We start from the raw sequence: 23,388 nt of genomic DNA, 5'->3' as shown, positions 1-23,388 counted from the left end.
AAAATAACAAAGAAATTGAGTGAATAAATATGTTATTCACCGTTTAACAAGAAAACTGCGATTAACAAAGCAATAGTTTAATCTCTTACCACATGGAGTTTAAATAGAAAAATACCTTGAATAAACCCTCATATTCTTTCTACTTTGTGAGATAGCTGATGCTTTTCAGCATCTACTTAAAGAATTATAGTATTTTCTTCATCTGTTATTTGGGGTGAATACTAATAGAATAGATCATTGTTACAAAGCCACACTGAGACAGTGCTCTGAAGCACTGGTCTCAGTATAAGTACATACTCTTTACTCTTATGGGTGCCTCACCACACCCACATGTGAATTGAGAGATAAGGATTAACCATTTGAGTCATCACAAATCGTTTTTCTCATTTAACCTCTTATTTAAGAGTTTCATTTTTCCATAGTTCTTTTTAATCCCTACTTATATGTGACTTCACAATTTTTTGGAAATTTTTAGTACGGAGGAAATTGTATCCATGCTTTTATTGTTGTATTATGCTATTTTGTATAGAAGATAGCTTTATTACTGTCTTAGCTCAAAACTCACCTAGTTTTCTAGCAGTAAGTTAAGGCTATCTTTTTTCCTTGATGACACAGAATTCACAAGAGTTTAACGGTTGTATACAGTACTGAATTTATATTAAAAAGGCACTGACCACTTTCCTTGTTATACTATTTTCTGTATCAGTGGAGGCATTGTAGGTATTTGGAGGTGCATTACATACTATTTTATTGAATATGAATATACATCATCAGCATGATAAAATAAACAATTTAAACTTTTCAGCTGCAGTAACACTAAGGAACTTCAATTTGTAATGAAAATACAACCCAAACCCCCTACCTGGCCTATAGGGACTTAAGGAATGTGGACCCTGTTTGCATCCCCTGCCACATGTGTGTCCCTGGTCCCTCTACTCCCCTCCTCCTGTGTTTTAATCACTCTTAACCTTCTGGGAGTTGCTGGATCATACTAAGTTGGTTTCTGCTACTGGGTCTCTGACGTGGCTCTTTCCTTTGCCTAAAACACTCCTTGCCCAGCTCCTACTTTGACTCATTCTTGCATTTTCTTTAGGTCTCACTTTAAATGTCACCTTAGAAATACTTTTCTTGACCAAATGCGTTTTGAGTAACTACCCTCCTCCTCAGAGTCCCTCAGTCTTTAACCTCAGTGCCCTGTTTATCTATTCCAGAGGTAGTTTTTAGAGTATTTGTTATCATTTTGTAACGTGTTTATTGTGTTGTATGTTACCTCCGCCACTGGAATGTCAGTCTCTTGAGGACAGGCCTCATGCCTGTTGTGTTAACTATTTTATCCTTTGTACCTAACAAGATGCTCAATTTAACTGCGTTGAGTGAATTGCAGGTAATTATCTACAAGTATAATTTAGCTACATTAATATTTATTTATATAATATGCTTAATTGTATGATTATGTATTTAAGTCTTTTTCTTCCTAAGAATGGAAAAGTTCCATGAGGGGTGTGTGTGCGTGTGCGCATGTGTGTGTGCACACATGTTTGAACACAGTTCTATCTGCTCATTAAAGCAAATCTCCTAAACAGCTCTGTAGGCAGTACTTTGCCGCTCTGTAGCCAGTACTTGGCCAGTCTGTTATGTAAAAGTTGCCTGTCTCAGGGCAAGTTCTAAAAGCCCCCAAAATAAACAAGTCTAAAAATGTGTGTTTCTAGGTAGATTCTTAAGGCAGCCGCTCAATATCCTAAGCTCTCCCTTTTTAAGTGTTCTTTCAGTTATCTTGACTCTATTAGAAAGAAAGCTTCCATCAGATACTCACCAGGACCAATGATCTTTAAACCCTGCTAATCTGTCATTAGGAAGGGAAAATGCATCTGGGGCTGGGAGCAGTTAATTGGGACCAGGGGCCCAGAACTTGACTGTGGTGGAAAGGGACAATTATGGCAGGAACTGAAGTTGGAACAGCGCAAGGAAACAGGAGGCACAAAAACCACTCTAAAACTCAGAATTTCCTGAACCTGAAAGTTGTCAAACTATTTCTTTAAAAAGATGCAGGCATTTTGAATTTTTAACCAGTTTTTTTCTGTTCTGTAATTTTCACAAAGAAGTCCAAGGCTGTGAGGCATGAATGTAAGTAATGAAGATACATCAACAAGGGATTTGTGAGGAAAGCTGTGATTTGCCTGGCACGTAGTGTCCCTCATCATATTAATACCAGATTGTCTTTGTGTTGAAAAGCAATTATTCCAACAATTACATCTTGTTGTGCCAACAATAATACGTAGGACTTAGTTTCCTGATTTTCAGATGGGGACTTAATTTTAAATATAAGTAATCCTATTAGTAAGGTGTTCTTAATTCCAAAATTTTTGGAAAAATTGAAGAACCTTTAAAGCCACAGTAACATTGATTCCAGGAGCTGCTTGGTTTTTCCAACAGATAATTTGACCTTAATAACTGTTAATTTTGGTATACTGATTTTTCAAAAGCACTTAACTGCTAAGAGAAGAAGAAAAAGTTGCTTTGCCTGTACATGACACTTATATTTTTAACTTGCCTAGAGGTAATAAGGATGATTGAAAATCTATTTAGATTCTTTATTGCTATACAAAAATTTTAAGTATTTTCTAATATTTCTCTTTGGTACAGAATCAGAGTAGCAACTAAATTTAATGTCTAATGTTAGTTATAATGTAACATTGGAAGCAAAGTAGCCTATTTGGTCAGTTTAGTTTCTTTTTTTTTTTTGTATGCCTGATAATTATGCTCTAAAACATAATTTCAATATGAACTTTGCAAGTGTTTTTAAAAAATATATCTTTCTGCTATAAAGTTACTTCTTAGCCAAAAGCCAAAGATAGTTGAAGAATATAGATTTGGATACATGCCATTCTTATGAAGAAAGAGAAAGAACTGACTTTCATACACTATACAGATCATGAAAAAGTTATTAGATGTTATGAGGACTTCTAGTAAAATTAAAGATGATAATTTTTATAAGTCCTTTTTGTTTTGAAAGCTTTGAGTTGTGAGACTTGAACTGACTCATTTCACTAGAATTTGTTACTGAACATGGTTGTTTTTGTTTCTGTTAGGCGTTTAGATGCCAACCATATTACCTCAGTCCCCGAGGACAGTTTTGAAGGACTTGTTCAGTTACGGCATCTGTGGCTGGATGACAACAGCTTGACGGAGGTGCCTGTGCACCCCCTCAGCAATCTGCCCACCCTACAGGCGCTGACCCTGGCTCTCAACAAGATCTCAAGCATCCCTGACTTTGCATTTACCAACCTTTCAAGCCTGGTAGTTCTGTAAGTATCTATCCCTTTTAATTCCATATATTTGTGTTAATTGGGGTACAAAAACAGATTTCTTCTGACAGATTATTATCAAGGCATCTCGCTGAATATGCTCCTGAGTAGTTAGTGCTTTGGGAGCTGCTTTTGTACAATATTAAACAGAATAGGATAATTTAAAACATTACCAGCTGATGATAATTGTTGAATCTCCCTAAGACAAATGACCAGTTATAATCATGAGAAGAAATTGGGTCATTCAGCACACACTTATACAGCTTTTACGTGTGTCCCAGCAGCGTATTCAATGTTAAAAGAAGGGAAGTCATTTCGAGGTGTCCATAGAAGTTAGTCCCAGGGATATTTCGTGTTTTCCACTTGTTCAGAGAGTATGTGATGCAGTGTGTTTTTAATCTTCCAAGACATAACAAAATAGTGCTTCTTTTAAAATCTGTTGGAGATCTCACTGGTGTAAACTACACACTTCCTCCACACCATTACCCTCATGTCCTCAGTAAGAGAGCTCATCAAATTTTTCTTCATATATTTAAGAGCTAATCAAAACTTTATTTTGATATGAATAAATATTAATCTTCCATGTATGTACCATATTTCCACTAAAGATACTTTCTCTTTCCATGAGGTAGTCTATGTTTAGTGAGTCTGTGCAGTGTACATAGCAAGAGATAACTATCCAATGTCACTTGTTTTCTGTGGTCAACAGAAAACTGTTTAGCTGTTTAGCTGTTGATATGTTTAGCTACATCATTCCTTTACACACCAACTCAGACATATAAAACAATGATAATAGTTGCCAATGGGAGATGGAAAAGTCATTTTATGCTTTTTTTCCCCCTTAGGCATCTTCATAACAATAAAATTAGAAGCCTGAGTCAACACTGTTTTGATGGACTAGATAACCTGGAGACCTTGTAAGTATATTCATATTTTGGGCAACTGCATTGTGATATTGAAAGTATAATTTTATACTTCACTGCAGAAAAAGAAAAAAATATTGGCCTTAAGTTCAGCTCCTTATTAATTCACTTTGATACTGGATTAAATTCTTGCTATCAAATAACCTAATTATGAATACTAATCTAAGTCCATGGCTAAAAATGGCAAAGTGTGAATTGCATATTTTCCCCCAAAGAATACACATTCAAAACAGCTCAATCTACAAAGATTTATACCTTTCCAGAAATGTTGGTTTTGTTAAATGTATGACAGTTTTGGAAGTTAGAAAGTTCTAAAATGAATTCTGGATAGTGTTATTTTTTCCATGATCTCAGTTGCCTTCTAATTGTTAACACTGGGTTTGAATACTATATCTGCTTTTACAAGTAACAAATGAAGATTTTATATTCTGCTATGATACTTTTGTTGTTGTTTCCACGAGCTAAAGTGTTTGAGACCTCTGGCTGTTTCAACTGTACATTGCACCACTATATAAGTAAAAGGCATTGTGTAGCTGTGTATAATTGAGAATAGGATATTTATTTTTGTTCTTTTAGCCTATATTAGTTGCCTTTATTGCCTTCATTCAAAGATAATGTAATTTTTGCTGTTGTGATGAGTAAATGATTCAGAGAAGGTCCCAATTACATGGGTGAGTAAAACCTGATTAGAATGCTCAGGGTATGTAGTATTTTATTTGACTGAATTTTCTGGTTAACTGTCAATTAATGAGAAGACTTAAAATCTTTTAGGACTCTATTATTTCACTTTTCTATCTAAATTAGAGGATAGGAAACATCAATGGATATATGAAAGTTGAAAATCTTGTAGAGGATAGTTCCAAACTCAGATCTCCTTTGCTAAGTGTGTGAGTTCTAGTGTTATAAATAAAAGATTGAATAGGTTTCCTAATCCTAAGCTGTGTACACTATTTCAATTATGTTAAAATTAAACCTCTTCCCAGTTAAATTTTTATTTGCCATTGTTTCTTCTCTGTTACAAAAAGGAAAAGGAAACCAAAATAGGTCTCAAAGGAGCTGAGCTTTTAATTTTATTTTACTTTCATTCTGAAATCAATCATGCAAATCGTATGCCAGTGTGCTCTTTATGTTAAAAGAAATTAAACTTTAAACACTCTCAGAACTAAGACTTTTTAGTACAGATCACTATGGCTTGTCTTTCTCCTAACTAATGTAAAATTCCCAATAATTCATAACTTGTATGAGGACAACAGTTGTGTGAATCTACCCTGGTCCTTCTGATTATTTTTTATTTTTTTATTTTTTATTTTTTTTGAGACAGAGTCTCGCTTTGTCACCAGGCTGGAGTGCAGTGGCATGATCTCGGCTCACTGCAACCTCCGTCTCCCAGGTTCAAGAGATTCTCCTGTCTCAGCTTCCTTAGTAGCTGGGACTACAGGCATGTGCCACCATGCCCTGCTAATTTTGGTATTTTTAGTAGAGATGGGTTTTCACTATGTTGGCCAGGATGGTCTCGATCTCTTGACCTCATGATCTGCCCGCCTCAGCCTCCCAAAGTGCTGGGATTACAGGCATGAACCACTGTGCCTGGCCTCCTTCTGATTATTTTTATCTCAGGTCATCACGCTGATGGTGGAACTGAGGTCAGCTGCTCTTATACCAGAATTTCAGGAAGCCACTGTGAACTCCAAATGGAAACCTCAGTTTCACGCTGTCATTTACAAATGGATATTCAATGAATTATATTCTAGAATGAATTTTCAGAGAAATACCATTCAGATGATTTATGTATTTAATGCATCAGTAATACATGATTCTGAAAATTATTTGAACTTGTAAGTTTCTTGACCTAAAAACATCATGGAAGAAGAATGATTTCTCTCTATTCATTATTGTAAGAAAAGGTGTAAATTCAGTTAAACTCCTACATGGTTTTGAATGACGATATGGTTGATAAAGAAAGATTACCATACAGAGGATATGATTTAAAAAAATACTTGTCTGTAACAAAATGCCTTATGAATTATGACCACTATTTAATATTTTGATATATTTTCACCCATTTTTTTCTAGAGACTTGAATTATAATAACTTGGGGGAATTTCCTCAGGCTATTAAAGCCCTTCCTAGCCTTAAAGAGCTGTGAGTATTGCTTCATTCTCTTTATGTCTTCATATCCCTGAAACTCACCATTTAATGTTCCAACAATGGGATTTTAGAACATCTTGTTCCATTACGTATATCCATAATACATGCACACAAACACACAAATAATCATAAAGTTGGATTGTGTTCGATGACAGAGACAATTTTGAGTATAGATTGATGTATAGGGTTAGATGCTGGTAAAACAAGAAGGCCTGATATACAGCGTCTGCCTTTAAGGAGCTTGTAGTCTTAGTCTTACTGGGGAAACTGATCATGTTAAGACAGACAGCTGTTTCTAGGTAGAAATAAATGCTGAATGAATAGGATAAATAAATCATTCTGGAAGAATACCTAATTGAAGTTTGGAGTTACTGCAGAAAACATCACCAAAAGGAAGGAGTTTGACCAGACTTGAAAGAACAAAAATATTTAAACACAGGAATGAGGGAGCATTTTTGTTTTTATTTTTTTTTTTGATTGTTTGTATGTTTTGAGACGGAGTCTCACTCTGTCGCCCAGGCTGGAGTGTCACGGTGCAGTGGCATGATCACAGCTCACTGCAGCCTTGACCTCCCAGGCTCAGGTGATCCTCCCATCTTAGCTTCCTGGGTAGCTGGGACTGCAGGCATGCACCACCACGCCCAGCTAATTGTTAAATTTTTTCTAGAGATAGGGTTTCATCATGTTGCCCATGCTGGTCTCAAACTCCTGGGCTCAAGTGATCCCCTCAGAATGCTGGGATTACAGGCGTGAGCCACTGTGCCCTGCCTGAGGGAACATTCTGGACGTCGGGTTTGTCATGGGTAGAGTTAGTGACTGTATATGGCACAACAGGGACTGTGTGTCATGAGCTAGTTGATGGTTAACATTCTAAGATGCATTGCCAAGAGGCTAAATACAGGCTACAGTGAGAGAGATTTTGAGGTTAGAACACCTGTTTCTCATGGTCTAAAGCTTTTTTTTATGATGAAGCAACAGATAAATGCATATGAGGGATCTGATAGATACCAAGCTAAGCAGTGGGTTAAAAAAGAATTAGGTATGATACTGAAAAAGATAAAATAAAATTAAAATTTGAGATTTCCTATGCTTTTGAAAATTTTCATGTAGTCATTATCAGTTGTATTTTATATAATGCTGAACAGCAGTAGATACTTGGGTTTTATTTCGCAAGAGGATAATGCATTTCAAAATACTTTTCTCCTATCTTTCTAGAGGATTTCATAGTAATTCTATTTCTGTTATCCCTGATGGAGCATTTGATGGTAATCCACTCTTAAGAACTATGTAAGTATTTTTGAAAGTTTCTTTTAATGTATAATTATGTGAAGCTGTGTCCGTACAATGCCAAACACCCTGATAAAGAATGAGAAGTCAGGATTTTAGATATATGTACATTGTGAACATAGAGTTAATATTAGAGTGCTTGTGAACATATGAAAATTTTACTTTTTTTGGATATTTTCACAGACATTTGTATGATAATCCTCTGTCTTTTGTGGGGAACTCAGCATTTCACAATTTATCTGATCTTCATTCCCTGTAAGTATGTGAATTTAAAAACAAACCTGGATATTTATACAGTTGTTTTAGTGGAAAACAAGAATTTATTACTGGAACTCCAGAAAACAAAATCTTTAAAATTTTTTTCTCCCTTGGGCAGAATTTATAATTGTTCTTATTTTTGTGAATACTTTGCCACATTATCATACTTTCAAGTACATTCAAGAGATGAAACTAGTTTTATTTTTAGTTATAGTTGCACTGTAATTTTAAACTGTTTAAAACATAAAATATGAAAAAAAATTTAAAAATTACCTTGTCTTTCTCAATTTCATAAAGAGTCATTCGTGGTGCAAGCATGGTGCAGCAGTTCCCCAATCTTACAGGAACTGTCCACCTGGAAAGTCTGTAAGTAAGGCCCTTTGAAGAGGGGTTGTATAAAGATAACACTACTGGACTGCTAGCAGGGTGCCAGGGTCTTTTAGTGACAATGATGGGTTTATGTTGATTCCTCCGGTTTCCCTTTGTATATATCATGCATGGAGAAGAATATATTGGGTATGGGGTCAGTGAGCTTAGGCAGAGTAGAGCCGATTATGTGGATAAGATCTGAAAGGTTCACAGAAAATACAAGGCAGTAACAAAGTGCCAAATTAGAAGCAGTGCTTTCAGAATTTAGAAGTGGGGGCATTCGATGTAGACTATCACAGAAGGCTTCACGGAGGAGGTAGAAGGTTTGAATACTGTCAGGTTTCCCAGAGCTGAGTGTTTAATTTAAGGCAGGATTAGTAAAACTGGAAATACCAAAAGTATTCTCAGAGATAGCATATAGATGAGCAAATATAGCTAGAATTGCATGTTTATAATAGAATGGGGATGGTATGGAGAAATCGGAGAATTGTTTGGTATTAGACTTTGAAATGACAAGCTTTGAACGTTGCACATTTGGTTGTGGCAGTTTCCCAGTGAGTGGTCTGTGCATGAGTTTACAGGTGCACTTAAGATCTTGATGACCTCAGCCCTCCAGACAGTCAGTTGGGGCCTGAGGCAGCTAGGACCTCTAGCCACAGGAGTCTTACTGCAGCGTGCCATTTAAATGTTACAATGGTCACATGTGACAAGATATTTTTTAAAAAAGAATTTGGGAAGCACTGAGGTAAGGAGTTTAAACTTGACTCTTAAGGCAGTTGGAGGTGTTGAGAATGTTTAAGCAGGTAATGTGAGGAGGGTAAGGAGAAAGAGACTAGAGATGGGGAGAACAGTGAGGCGGCTGTGGGAATAGTCTACCTGACCAGATGAACACATTGAATTATGACAGCTCCAGGTCTTTAATCCATCACTGGATTTGCACCAGGACAAATAGCATGGTCTGTCTGAGAGTCCTCTATCCCTCTCTGCCTCACTTCACTCTTTTTCTGAAAGAATTAGATGCTAGAAACACAACAGAGGAAGAAATAACAGGAACTGGTGATAGACTACAGAAGGGAGGGGAATAAGAGAACATTTTCGAATGCTGAGCCAGTTTGACTGAAAGAAAAGACAGAAACAAGATTTGGGGGCAGAATGCAAGTTGGTTTCAAAGGTCTTGGGTGTAAGAAGGTGACAACTTGCAATTAACTGTGATCAGACTGTGTGACTGTAGATTAGTGTTTTCCTCCTGGTCCATGTGGGAAATCAAGCCCAGTATCAACATCTAATGTCACAAGTGTTTTTGAGTTACTGTGAAGATGATATCAGAATTGGGGTTCAGTTCACCTTCTTGCATGTCTAACTTTATGGAATAATTAGGCCATGGGATGTATAGAATCTAGTCCATATGTAAATATGTGAGCACTTATTCTATATGGGAATAAATTTTGCTTACTATCTTGAGTTGAATTATTTCTTACATGAATAATGTTTTTCCGCAGGACTTTGACAGGTACAAAGATAAGCAGCATACCTAATAATTTGTGTCAAGAACAAAAGATGCTTAGGACTTTGTAAGTTGGATTCTTCTTCCCTTCCCCTCATACCTTTTGTTTATATATTCACACATGTTCAATTTTATTTTAAGGATCTACTTTCATAAGGTGGTTTTGAGGTATAATTACTTCTTAGTTGTTGTAAAGGAGCAGATATTTGAGTCATCTCCAGGGTGGGTAATGTGCATTTGAATTAGGTTTTAGGGTTTTGAATATATCATATACTTGTGACTTTATTTTGAACAAAGTAAAACCAAGATAGGTTCTTTCTTCATTTTTTCTCATCCTGCTCTTTGTCTTTATTCTAGTTTCTCCAGGGGTATCTCTCCTCATAGTCTCCTTCTTTCATCTGCAGCCTAAGCAGAGCCTAACTCTTTATTCAGTCTGGAATGAACTAAAGCTTGTCGCTTTCTAAAAACTTTAGGCTGACCTAGAAACTAAAAGTAAATAAAGGATGTAAAAATGTCTCCAGAATAAACGATTAAGTTATTAAGTTGTTAATAAGTACTCAGTGGCAGGAGATAGTAACAAAATAAATGACTGATTGATTAAGCAAGTAAAGTCACACATCCACTTAACAATAGGAATACATTCTAAGAAATGTGTCATGGGGCAATTTTGTCATTGTGTGAAAATCATAGAGTATGCTTACACAAACCTCGGTGGTTTCTTCTACACACCTGGGCTATATGATATAATCTGTTACTCCTAGCCTACAAACCTGTACAGCATAATACTGTACTGAATACTGTAGGCAGTTGTAACATAATAGTAAATATTTGTATATCTAAACATAGAAAAGTTGGAGCAGAAATATGGTATTATACTCTTATGGGACCATATCATTGTATATGGTGTCTGTCATTGACCAAAACTGTTATTTGGGTCATGACTATAATTTAGTGATGTAGTGGTGTATCAAACTTAAACATAATGATCACTGTTGAGGAAAAACTGCAGTGGGACTGAAAGTTAACTAGTTCTGGTGTTTGATGTAATATAACTGTTTTTTAAAATGTTGATAAGCATACCATTTCTCTTAGAGCTTTTCAACAAAAGAACATATAAGTTATTTATGGGATAAACAATATTGAAAAAATACAAATTTTTAAACCGTATAAATACAAATTTAAAAAAATGTAGCTTTACCACTTAAATTTTATATATTTTGTATATTTTTCTATATTTGCCTATTTAATTTTATATATTTATGTTATGTACTTTATATATATACTTTATAGAAATGTATTTTTACATATATTAGTGTCTATGCTCAACAATATATTCTTGAACTTTATCAATCTTAGGCTTATTGTATCACTGAGGTATTTGAGAAGCTGACAAGTCTTAGGAAAAAAGACTTGTTTTTCTTATTCAGGCATATCTCTTTATTACTTATCTTAGCTCTGCTTTCAACGCTTCTGAGTACCACTCTTTTAATATAATACTCTGATAACATAGCATTAATTTGTTAATTTCCATTGTTTTAAGGGACTTGTCTTACAATAATATAAGAGACCTTCCAAGTTTTAATGGTTGCCATGCTCTGGAAGAAATGTGAGTTGGTCTTTGACTTATTCCTTTTGTTGTGGTGTATTGTTAGTTTGTTGAGCATTTCGTATTTTTAATAGATGGCTTTAATAGTAAGAAATTAGAAATTCCTGTAATCAGATGTTCCCATAAATAACATGTCAAATTGAACCAGATGTGTTCATGCAACCAGCATGTATTAGGCACTTAGCTATCAGGCATCCCATGAAACGCTATGCGGGGGGGAGTTGGAAGTTAGTGTATATTTAAAAGAAATAGAAGACAAAAACTTGTCCAGCTATTGAGGGAAACCAGACATGAATGCCAGTTCCCATCATGTCCTGTGTTGCACAGCTCTGGTGGAAGCTGGTTGGGAGATGGGAAGGGGGAGGCATTAATTCTCCCATTTTAACTCTATGTAGTCCTGTAACTTTATTCCTACGGTATTTGTCATAGTTGTGTTGTCTTGGTTCCTTTTCTCCCTGCATCATCTTCCTTCTCTTATGCCTGAGTGGGGTTGATGGGGGAATTTAGATAGCATACCAGTTAATTCCCAGTATAATATGGGATGAAATACCAATTAGTCTCTTTCATTTTATAGATGAGAAAAGGGCAATTCTCTTTCAACAAGATCACTGTTACATAAGAATAGTTATTTAAATTTAGAAAAAACTCAACTAAGAAATGTTATAATGTTATTTTTCAAAATAGAAAGTAACTTTTTTCTTTTTCTCTATCCCTTTCTCTTTCCTCCTCCTCCTGTTCTCTTCTTTGTCTTTGTCTTCGTCTTCTTTCTTCTTCTTTTTTTATTTAGTTCTTTACAGCGTAATCAAATCTACCAAATAAAGGAAGGCACCTTTCAAGGCCTGATATCTCTAAGGATTCTGTAAGTTTGTCTATGATTATTAAAGACAATAAATTTTTTCCAAACTATGTTAATATGTTGTTATGATTTCCATGTTACTAGATATACTTAAAGATATAATTTTAATTTCAGCCTGAACAACGTGGTGAAACCCCATCTCTACTAAATACAAAAAATTAGCCGGGCATAGTGGTGCATGCCTGTAATCCCAGCTACTCGGGAGGCTGAGGCAGGAGAATCGCTTGAACCCTGGAGGTGGAGATTGCAGTGAGCTGAGATTGTGCCATTGCACTCCAGGCTGAAAAAGAAGAGTGAAACTCCGTCTCAAAAAAAAAAAAAAAAGATATAATTTGTGTTCAATAAATATTATTTTTAGACTTTACCTAAAATATTATTTTAGACATTGCAAGATTTTTAGACTTGCAACTTTATAAATAATCTTTCAATATTTTTTACTTTAGCTAATTGTACATTGGCAAGTAGAAAAATGTGTAATGTGTATAACTGAAGTGATGTAGCTTGTTTGTTTTCAAGTTATAATAGTGAGGTTTGCCAATTCATTAGGGCAAGGGTAGGCAGACTACAGCCCATGGGCCACATCCAGCCTGCTTCCTGGTTTATCAATTAAGTTTAATTGAACACTGCCAGGCCTTTATTATTAAAGTGCCGTCTAAAGCTGCTCTCACCCCACTATAGCAGAATTGAGTAGTTGCAGCGGAGAGTATATGACTCACAAAGGTGAAAATATTTACTATCTGGCCTTCTACAGAAGAAGTTTGCTGACCCCTGCACTGGAGTATCTATCATGACAAATAGAGTTCATAAGCCACAGAAGCACTTACTTAAAAAATCATTTGTATTTGACTACATATTTGTTCCAGGTACTCTCATAAGCACTTGGGAATATAGAGGTGACTGAGACAAACCTTGCCACTCACTATCTTCCTAGAACTTTAGCACAGAAACATAGTACACTAAATTAATGAACATTTTTCTTTTCTTTTTCTTTTTTTTTTTTTTTTGAGACAGGGTCTCTCACTCTTGTCGCTCAGGCTAGAATGCAGTGGTGTAATCACAGCTCACTGCATCCTCCAACGCCTGAGCTCAAACAATCCTCCTGCCTCAACCTCCTGAATAGCTGAGGGACTACAGGTGCACACCACAATCTCCAGCTAATTTTTTTCTTTTTTTTTTTTTTGGTAGAGATGGGGTCTCCCTATGTTGCCCAGGCTTGTCTCAAACACCTGAGCTCAAGTGATCCACCCACCTTGGCCTCCCAAAGTGTTTGGATTACAGGTGTGAGCCACCTTGCCCAGCACAACATTTTTCTATTATAGAAAAAGTTTGAAAAATTGATAGTGAATGAAATTACATATATTGAATACAGTTTTTTAGTATATCCCCTTTAAGAAATATGACATGTACTCTACTAGAAACTATTTAATTGGTAGTTGGGTTGCTGGATCATCTCAAGTTGTGGACTAACTTTGTGTAAGCCTGGGCAGTCATAGGGAAGAAGACTGGCTCCTAGTTGCCATCACTTTTAGAAACTGATAAGTGACACTAAGAAGCTGGTCTTTTCGTGATTTGGAACCAAGTGTGTTGAGTTTCCTTGTTATCTAGGAAATATGTCTCAGAATGAATTTACTCAATGTTTAAATTTCCTTTAAGGTTCAGTGTAAGTGTGTTTGTAGATTATTTCTGTTTTATTAATTCTATAATATCAGAATTTCTCAGGGTGTGTTCCTGAATACGGAGCTGGCTGTACTGTTGATGCAATTTTTATATCGTGCTTAGGAAAAGAAGGGTATCTGCAGCCCTCCTGGAATGCTCTTGTTTGCATATTGATTGTTTGTCTTCTCTCGGGGCCTTATCACTAACCTTTGAGAAGGCAAACAATACGAAGTCTGTTTTTATTTTCAGCTTTTTCAGAAACTGAGCTTTTCCTCACTGAGTTAGCAGTACCAAAGGTTATATCATATCATTTATATGTTTGAATTGGTATCAGAATGATAAAGTGGGAAAATTCACACCTGTTTTGAAACAGATGCCAGCTAGAATTACTGCTGTACAGAACATATTCCAAGAAATAGATTGTTGTGAAGGAGAGGCATTCAACATAAACATGAAAAAATATTGCTGGCCAAGATTGAAGATCTTTGTTATCTTATCAGCGATATTGTGTTACTACCTCTAATTCTAAAGTATAGTCTAAGTAAGTGGCATTCTGAGTGTTTATTTGAAAGATTAACATGTTACTCTTATAATTGCAGAGATCTGAGTAGAAACCTGATACATGAAATTCACAGTAGAGCTTTTGCCACACTTGGGCCAATAACTAACCTGTAAGTGGATGATTATGCAGTAATGTCATGAAAGTAGTAACTAGTGCTATAGAAACATCTGTTTTAACATTGTCGAATCAAAATATTTTTCTGTTTAGTTATTCCCTTGTATAAATGCTAAGCTGTATTTATAGTAAAAGTCTTCTTAAACGGCAAGATACATGCTAGAACTATAATTTTAGCACCCCCACTTGAACTTCATCTTAGGGATCTAATATTTATGATGTTAATACGTGTACAGATGTTTTTATGTGATTTATATATTGGGCATTAACTTGAAGTCTCATTCATATTTTAGAGATGTAAGTTTCAATGAATTAACTTCCTTTCCTACGGAAGGCCTGAATGGGCTAAATCAACTGAAACTTGTGGGCAACTTCAAGCTGAAAGAAGCCTTAGCAGCAAAAGACTTTGTTAACCTCAGGTGTGTTTTTGCTTATTTTTCTTTTTTGTTGAAGTTATGGTAGGCTCCAAAATTACAGAGTGTCCTGGTTTTTTGCTCTGGTTCTCAGATTTTCTGATAGGCTATAATTTAAGGGTGTTTTCTACGTCAGTCTTTGCAAATTTGGTGAAAAATAGAATATGAACATTATTCCACAGTCTTTAAGAATGTGAACTGGAGCCCTTGATGGCCTCAAAGAGATAATACAGCTATTCACCAGAATGGTTTTTTAATACAGTGGACTTTTCATTAGCAATAAGATGGCAGAAACCATGTAAATGTGAACCTGCAGAAAACAATGCTATAATACTTCATGAAGGTTTTAGAGTTATGGGGGACTGCATTAAATATAATAGAGAGTATTGTTACGAGGCCGAGCGTGGTGGCTCGCACCTGTAATCCCAGTACTTTGGGGAAGGCCAAGGTGGGCTGATCACTTGACACCAGCAGTTCAAGACCAGCCTGGGCAACATGCTGAGACCCTGTCTCTACAAAAAATATAAAAGTTAGCTGGATGTGGTGGCACGTGCCTGTAGTCCCAGCTACTTGGGAGGCTGAAATGGGAGGATCACTTCAGCCTGGGAGTTCTAGGCTGCACTGAGCTGTGATTGCGCCATTACACTATAGCCTGGGTGACAGGGCAAGACCCTGTCTCTAAAAAAAAGAGAGAGAATATTATTGTTGGAGAAGAGAATAAATATTTTCATTACATTTATTTAAACCAAGTAAATATATTTAATGGTATAAAGTCACAAATGACCTGGGGCATTAATTTTAAGTGAAACTATCAGTTTCGTATGATAAATTGTGCATAGTTAATACATTTATAAAAGGAGTCATAAGATATTACTTTAAATTACAGTACTGCTGTTAAATTTTAAACAGTTTGATTTACATCCAACTGTTAAGAGAGATCTTATAGAAAGGGAGAAAGTCTCGTTGTCATCTGATACCAGAGCTGTTTTCACAGATGAGGAAACTGAGGCCCAGAGAGGATGAACGACCAGCCTAAAGCACATGACAGATCTTTCTGACTCCTAGGCTGAGGTTTTCAAAGTTTAAAATACTTTTACAAAACAAAACCATAACTGCGGAGTTGCTGTTCAGTGTAGATTTTACAACTTTTTTTTCCAGGTCTTTATCAGTACCATATGCTTATCAGTGCTGTGCATTTTGGGGTTGTGACTCTTATGCAAATTTAAACACAGAAGATAACAGCCTCCAGGACCACAGTGTGGCACAGGAGAAAGGCAAGTGCATGAGTTTCAAAAAATAGAACACTCCTTTAAGGCATTGATTAAAGTTCCTGTTATTATAATTACTTTGTGAATGATCAATAGGAAATCTGTGAGAAAAATGGCATTGTCTGGCCAGGTGTGATGGCTCATGCCTGTAATCTCAGCACTTAGGGAGGCCAAGGCGGGAGGGTCATTTGAGGCTAAGAGTTCGAGACCAGCCTGGGCAACAAAGTGAGACTCTCTCTATATAAAAAATTTTAAAACTAGCTGAGTGTAGTGGCATGTGCCTGTATTCCCCACTACTTGGGAGACTGAGGTGGGAGAATCCTTTGAGCGGAGCCCAGGAGTTCAAGGTTGCAGTGAGCTATGATTGTGCCAATGCATTCCAGACTGGGCAACAGAGCAAGACCTTGTCTCTAAAAAAAACCAAAACCAAAAAAAACAATGGCATTCACTATGCTACCAGCATCTTTAATATGTTATTGAACCTTCTATAAGGAGAACTCACACTTATATACAGAGAAAATTGCAGGAAAATATGGTTCTTTTGAGTTGCATAAGGTTTTAATTAAACATGCTTTGTGTTATATGTTCAGGTACTGCTGATGCAGCAAATGTCACAAGCACTCTTGAAAATGAAGAACATAGTCAAATAATTATCCATTGTACACCTTCAACAGGTATGCCTGGCCTATTTTTTCACAGTTACCCATGTTAAACAAACATTAGGCAAATATATCTAAATGTCCTGGGTATAGATGTGATTTCTGTAATAGGGATGGTACTAGAGGATCCTGTGAGGCCTTCTGATTTTGTGCTTTGCGTACCAGCCAGCAGCTTAGGAATTTTTTGCAGAATCTCAGGCCCAGACCTACTGAATCAGAATCTGCATGTTAACAAGCTCCCCCAGGTGAAGGTTGTACACGTTAGAATTTCAGAGGCACTTTCTTAATGCTCCTTTAACTCTGGGACTAATTCTGTAAGTTAGTAGTCTATGCAGATTGTATGTGTGTGCTTAATGTAGCCTTGCCTTTCCTTATTTCCCCTCATTTACTTCATTGAACTTCGTAGTCTTGGGAAAGTTATTAAACTGATACCACATATTTGGTCATGATTGTCATAGTCTGCCTAATCTACTAGAGAAGATGTATTTATAATTTTACTGTAAAAGGAAGGCTTAAATATTTTAGTCAAATTGTGTGCTACAAAGTAGATTCCTTTGTTGGTATAATATCACAGGATAATCTGGACATTAATTTTATGACTCAGAATTATAAGTATTATGGATTCACTAGTGATTGCTGCTGAATTGTGAGCTTCTTAAGGGGCTGCGTATGTATTTTATGAATACTTTCTTTTGTAGAGAATAAGCTCTAAGTTACTAGATAAGTGAATGCAGTTGGCAAGAATCATCTAAGTGTATGTAATTTATTTTATTGTGTGTTAGTGTCTATATTAATTTTTAAAGGTTGGGGTGCAGCTTGCTTACTTGTCTCACTGGAGTTCATGTGCCAGAGAATGTACATAAAGAACTGATGATCCAATGAGAAGGGAACAGGTTTATTAAAGGGGGGGCTGGACTTCAACATGCAGCGTTTCCATTTCTTCCACCCCAAATGTAAACTTGGAGATTGGCCAGGAGGAAAGCTGGTCTGAGCTCATCTCCTTGGGCTGCCATGGGGATGAAATGCAGGCCTGCCTCCCCCTACTCAGCTGTAGTAACACACAGACACTGATGTGCTTGCTGCAGAAGCAGGAAGTGGAGGAGAGCTGGGATCCTTCTGTTAGCACCAGAGGAGGCAGCAGGCTTCCAAAGACAGGGACGGTGGAGGCTGCTTCCCAGGCTTTTTTGGAAAAGTAACCTTTCTCACCCATAAAAGGGTTCTCAAAAGGTATCCTATTCTCTCAGGTAGATGAGCTACCCCTCCTTCCATGAAGGATGAGTTTAGATAACAGAGATAAAGGTGATAACGAGCTTTCTCTTAGCACTTCCTGAAGGGGGAATAGAAAGGAAATTTAAAATAAGAGTTTCTTGTATTATTTGGAAGCCTGATAAATGATGCAGAACTGGCTTTTGAGGTCTGTGAATATCTTAACAATTTAAAACATTTTATTGGATATGTCATTTTCATGAAAGTTCATAAAACATGTTTTTTAGACAGTTGTAATACATAGTTTTCTTGTGTTTCATAGTCAAAATCTTGTTTTTCTTTTCTAATTTTTCAGTAAAACAGTTGTAATTTGTGTCATAACTAGCATGTCAAAGTCAGTTACTGGAACATGGAGTTCAGCGACTGAATGAGTTCTTGCAATGCTAGTTTGTATTATGTAGGATTTTATTGTACATAGCTTTGTATGAATAGTTAACATCACCGAGGTGTAGTCCTAGCTATATTATCTTACTGAATGGCCTTTGTCAGTTTCTTTGAAATATCAGTTTCTCTGGATGAAAAATGGGGATAATTATACTGTCTTAACCTGCTTCATCAGGTTGCTTTTGAAAGTCATAAGAAAATATATAAAAAATATGTGTAGATACATACATATACATACATGATTATAAAGTATATTGGGGCTAGAAAGGAAGAAGAAAAGGGAGCTAATATTTATTGAAGTCTAACTATATATCCAGCATCCTGCTTAGTTCCTTATGTGTATAATTTTACTTAAGCTGCACAACTGTATGAAACAGGCATTATTATCCACAAGTGAGAAAATGAATACAGGTTAAAATTTATACAATTTTAAGTTGCTTTCTTAAGGTAAGAATAGCAAGTTATGAACCATCTCATTCCAGACCCTCAGTCATCAAATACCTCTTATGCCCTAGATATTGTGCTATGTAAATTAGCTTAGATGCAAGAAAAAATGAAAAATTTCATCTAAATATCACTCTTTATCAAATATTTAATAAAAGAAATATTTATAGCCTTACCAAATATTTAATAAAATAAATTAAAGTCAGTTTATTTTTAAAATAGCCTGGTCCATGACCAAAATATCTTAGAACTAGTAATCAGTTCAGTTTTGTTCAAGTAGAGAGCAGATTTAATTAGTCTATATCATTAGTTTTTCTATCAAGCCATATCATTTTCTAAATTGTTTTCTAAGTTATCTTTTATTTCTCTCTCTCTGTGTGTGTTTTTTTTAGGTGCTTTTAAGCCCTGTGAATATTTACTGGGAAGCTGGATGATTCGTCTTACTGTGTGGTTCATTTTCTTGGTTGCATTATTTTTCAACCTGCTTGTTATTTTAACAACATTTGCATCTTGTACATCACTGCCTTCGTCCAAATTGTTTATAGGCTTGATTTCTGTGTCTAACTTATTCATGGGAATCTATACTGGCATCCTAACTTTTCTTGATGCTGTGTCCTGGGGCAGATTCGCTGAATTTGGCATTTGGTGGGAAACTGGCAGTGGCTGCAAAGTAGCTGGGTTTCTTGCAGTTTTCTCCTCAGAAAGTGCCATATTTTTATTAATGCTAGCAACTGTCGAAAGAAGCTTATCTGCAAAAGATATAATGAAAAATGGGAAGAGCAATCATCTCAAACAGTTCCGGGTTGCTGCCCTTTTGGCTTTCCTAGGTGCTACAGTAGCAGGCTGTTTTCCCCTTTTCCATAGAGGGGAATATTCTGCATCACCCCTTTGTTTGCCATTTCCTACAGGTGAAACGCCATCATTAGGATTCACTGTAACGTTAGTGCTATTAAACTCACTAGCATTTTTATTAATGGCCGTTATCTACACTAAACTATACTGCAACTTGGAAAAAGAGGACCTCTCAGAAAACTCACAATCTAGCATGATTAAGCATGTCGCTTGGCTAATCTTCACCAATTGCATCTTTTTCTGCCCTGTGGCGTTTTTTTCATTTGCACCATTGATCACTGCAATCTCTATCAGCCCCGAAATAATGAAGTCTGTTACTCTGATATTTTTTCCATTGCCTGCTTGCCTGAATCCAGTCCTGTATGTTTTCTTCAACCCAAAGTTTAAAGAAGACTGGAAGTTACTGAAGCGACGTGTTACCAAGAAAAGTGGATCAGTTTCAGTTTCCATCAGTAGCCAAGGTGGTTGTCTGGAACAGGATTTCTACTACGACTGTGGCATGTACTCACATTTGCAGGGCAACCTGACTGTTTGCGACTGCTGCGAATCGTTTCTTTTAACAAAGCCAGTATCATGCAAACACTTGATAAAATCACACAGCTGTCCTGCATTGGCAGTGGCTTCTTGCCAAAGACCTGAGGGCTACTGGTCCGACTGTGGCACACAGTCGGCCCACTCTGATTATGCAGATGAAGAAGATTCCTTTGTCTCAGACAGTTCTGACCAGGTGCAGGCCTGTGGACGAGCCTGCTTCTACCAGAGTAGAGGATTCCCTTTGGTGCGCTATGCTTACAATCTACCAAGAGTTAAAGACTGAACTACTGTGTGTGTAACCGTTTCCCCCGTCAACCAAAATCAGTGTTTATAGAGTGAACCCTATTCTCATCTTTCATCTGGGAAGCACTTCTGTAATCACTGCCTGGTGTCACTTAGAAGAAGGAGAGGTGGCAGTTTATTTCTCAAACCAGTCATTTTCAAAGAACAGGTGCCTAAATTATAAATTGGTGAAAAATGCAATGTCCAAGCAATGTATGATCTGTTTGAAACAAATATATGACTTGAAAAGGATCTTAGGTGTAGTAGAGCAATATAATGTTAGTTTTTTCTGATCCATAAGAAGCAAATTTATACCTATTTGTGTATTAAGCACAAGATAAAGAACAGCTGTTAATATTTTTTAAAAATCTATTTTAAAATGTGATTTTCTATAACTGAAGAAAATATCTTGCTAATTTTACCTAATGTTTCATCCTTAATCTCAGGACAACTTACTGCAGGGCCAAAAAAGGGACTGTCCCAGCTAGAACTGTGAGAGTATACATAGGCATTACTTTATTATGTTTTCACTTGCCATCCTTGACATAAGAGAACTATAAATTTTGTTTAAGCAATTTATAAATCTAAAACCTGAAGATGTTTTTAAAACAATATTAACAGCTGTTAGGTTAAAAAAATAGCTGGACATTTGTTTTCAGTCATTATACATTGCTTTGGTCCAATCAGTAATTTTTTCTTAAGTGTTTTGTGATTACACTACTAGAAAAAAAGTAAAAGGCTAATTGCTGTGTGGGTTTAGTCGATTTGGCTAAACTACTAACTAATGTGGGGGTTTAATAGTATCTGAGGGATTTGGTGGCTTCATGTAATGTTCTCATTAATGAATACTTCCTAATATCGTTGGCTCTACTAATATTTTCCAATTTGCTGGGATGTCACCTAGCAATAGCTTGGATTATATAGAAAGTAAACTGTGGTCAATACTTGCATTTAATTAGACGAAACGGGGAGTAATTATGACACGAAGTACTTATGTTTATTTCTTAGTGAGCTGGATTATCTTGAACCTGTGCTATTAAATGGAAATTTCCATACATCTTCCCCATACTATTTTTTATAAAAGAGCCTATTCAATAGCTCAGAGGTTGAACTCTGGTTAAACAAGATAATATGTTATTAATAAAAATAGAAGAAGAAAGAATAAAGCTTAGTCCTGTGTCTTTAAAAATTAAAAATTTTACTTGATTCCCATCTATGGGCTTTAGACCTATTACTGGGTGGAGTCTTAAAGTTATAATTGTTCAATATGTTTTTTGAACAGTGTGCTAAATCAATAGCAAACCCACTGCCATATTAGTTATTCTGAATATACTAAAAAAATCCAGCTAGATTGCAGTTTAATAATTAAACTGTACATACTGTGCATATAATGAATTTTTATCTTATGTAAATTATTTTTAGAACACAAGTTGGGAAATGTGGCTTCTGTTCATTTCGTTTAATTAAAGCTACCTCCTAAACTATAGTGGCTGCCAGTAGCAGACTGTTAAATTGTGGTTTATATACTTTTTGCATTGTAAATAGTCTTTGTTGTACATTGTCAGTGTAATAAAAACAGAATCTTTGTATATCAAAATCATGTAGTTTGTATAAAATGTGGGAAGGATTTATTTACAGTGTGTTGTAATTTTGTAAGGCCAACTATTTACAAGTTTTAAAAATTGCTATCATGTATATTTACACATCTGATAAATATTAAATCATAACTTGGTAAGAAACTCCTAATTAAAAGGTTTTTTCCAAAATTCAGGTTATTGAAAACTTTTCATTTTATTCATTTAAAAACTAGAATAACAGATATATAAAAGTGTTAATCTTTGTGCTATATGGTATGAAATACAATATTGTACTCAGTGTTTTGAATTATTAAAGTTTCTAGAAAGCAATCTATTTTGCCTTAATTTAAAACTAGGTATATTAATGAATTTAGTTTTAAAGTAAGCAAATTAAATATTTGTAAGTGGACAGTATTAGAAGAAATGTTGGAAGTAACCATTAGAAAACACTATTTTGATATTTATTTGTAAACATATAAGAACATTTTGCTGAAACTTAGAAATAAGGTTTTATCCTAAGTCTGAACTATACTCATGGAAAACAGATTATGAAATTTCAGAAAAACCATTGATTCAATCTTTATCTAAAAAGCAAATGATTAAAAAATCTGCATGATATTAAATGTAGTCAGTTGCCCAGATGCTTAGAAATACTTCAGTATTTACAATCATTAAGTCCTCATTTTACAGATGAGAAAACAAAAGGCTTAATGAAATTTAAGTGAATCCCTGAGTCACAGCAAATTTGACCCCAAACCAGAACCCAATGCCTCTTCATTTGGGACATAATTTTGTGTGTGTGTTTGTTTTAAATTTCATATATGCTTGAAATTTCCATAACAAAAAGTAGAGTAGTATAATTACCCCACCTCCCTACCCTTCACCCCATACCTGTCACTGCTTTGACAATTATCTGCAGCATGTAGTGAACCTTGTTTCATCTTCATCCTATTCACTAATCCCCTCCAATCCCTCTGCCCCTTGCATTATTTTGAAGCAAATTTAAGACATTATATTGTTTCATCTGTAAATACTAATGTCTAGGGATAAATTTTTAAAGTTGCATAATATATGCCACAGGGCTAACTGGTGATGGAATTATTTAAGCAAAAGTGACTCTT

The 23,388-nt window shown here is 35.7% G+C and overlaps 1 protein-coding gene across 2 annotated transcripts in view; it reads left to right on the top strand.

Moving 5' to 3' along the window:
• Positions 1–22,597, top strand: part of LGR4 (leucine rich repeat containing G protein-coupled receptor 4) — a 106,830-nt gene extending 84,233 nt beyond the window's left edge. For both annotated transcript variants that reach the window (NM_001346432.2, NM_018490.5), the window contains 14 exons: positions 3,090–3,305; positions 4,151–4,222; positions 6,302–6,370; positions 7,592–7,663; positions 7,847–7,918; positions 8,219–8,287; positions 9,790–9,861; positions 11,335–11,400; positions 12,188–12,259; positions 14,512–14,583; positions 14,882–15,007; positions 16,160–16,275; positions 16,860–16,943; positions 19,415–22,597. In NM_001346432.2, the coding sequence (NP_001333361.1) occupies positions 3,090–3,305; positions 4,151–4,222; positions 6,302–6,370; positions 7,592–7,663; positions 7,847–7,918; positions 8,219–8,287; positions 9,790–9,861; positions 11,335–11,400; positions 12,188–12,259; positions 14,512–14,583; positions 14,882–15,007; positions 16,160–16,275; positions 16,860–16,943; positions 19,415–20,691 (2,455 nt within the window). In that variant the 3' untranslated portion in view covers positions 20,692–22,597. The remainder of the gene's footprint in view (positions 1–3,089; positions 3,306–4,150; positions 4,223–6,301; positions 6,371–7,591; positions 7,664–7,846; positions 7,919–8,218; positions 8,288–9,789; positions 9,862–11,334; positions 11,401–12,187; positions 12,260–14,511; positions 14,584–14,881; positions 15,008–16,159; positions 16,276–16,859; positions 16,944–19,414) is intronic.

This window comes from Homo sapiens, chromosome 11, assembly GCF_000001405.40.
Source record: "Homo sapiens chromosome 11, GRCh38.p14 Primary Assembly".
NCBI lineage: Eukaryota > Metazoa > Chordata > Mammalia > Primates > Hominidae > Homo > Homo sapiens.
Note: the sequence above shows the minus strand (reverse complement) of the source record. Positions and strands in the feature narration are given on the sequence as shown.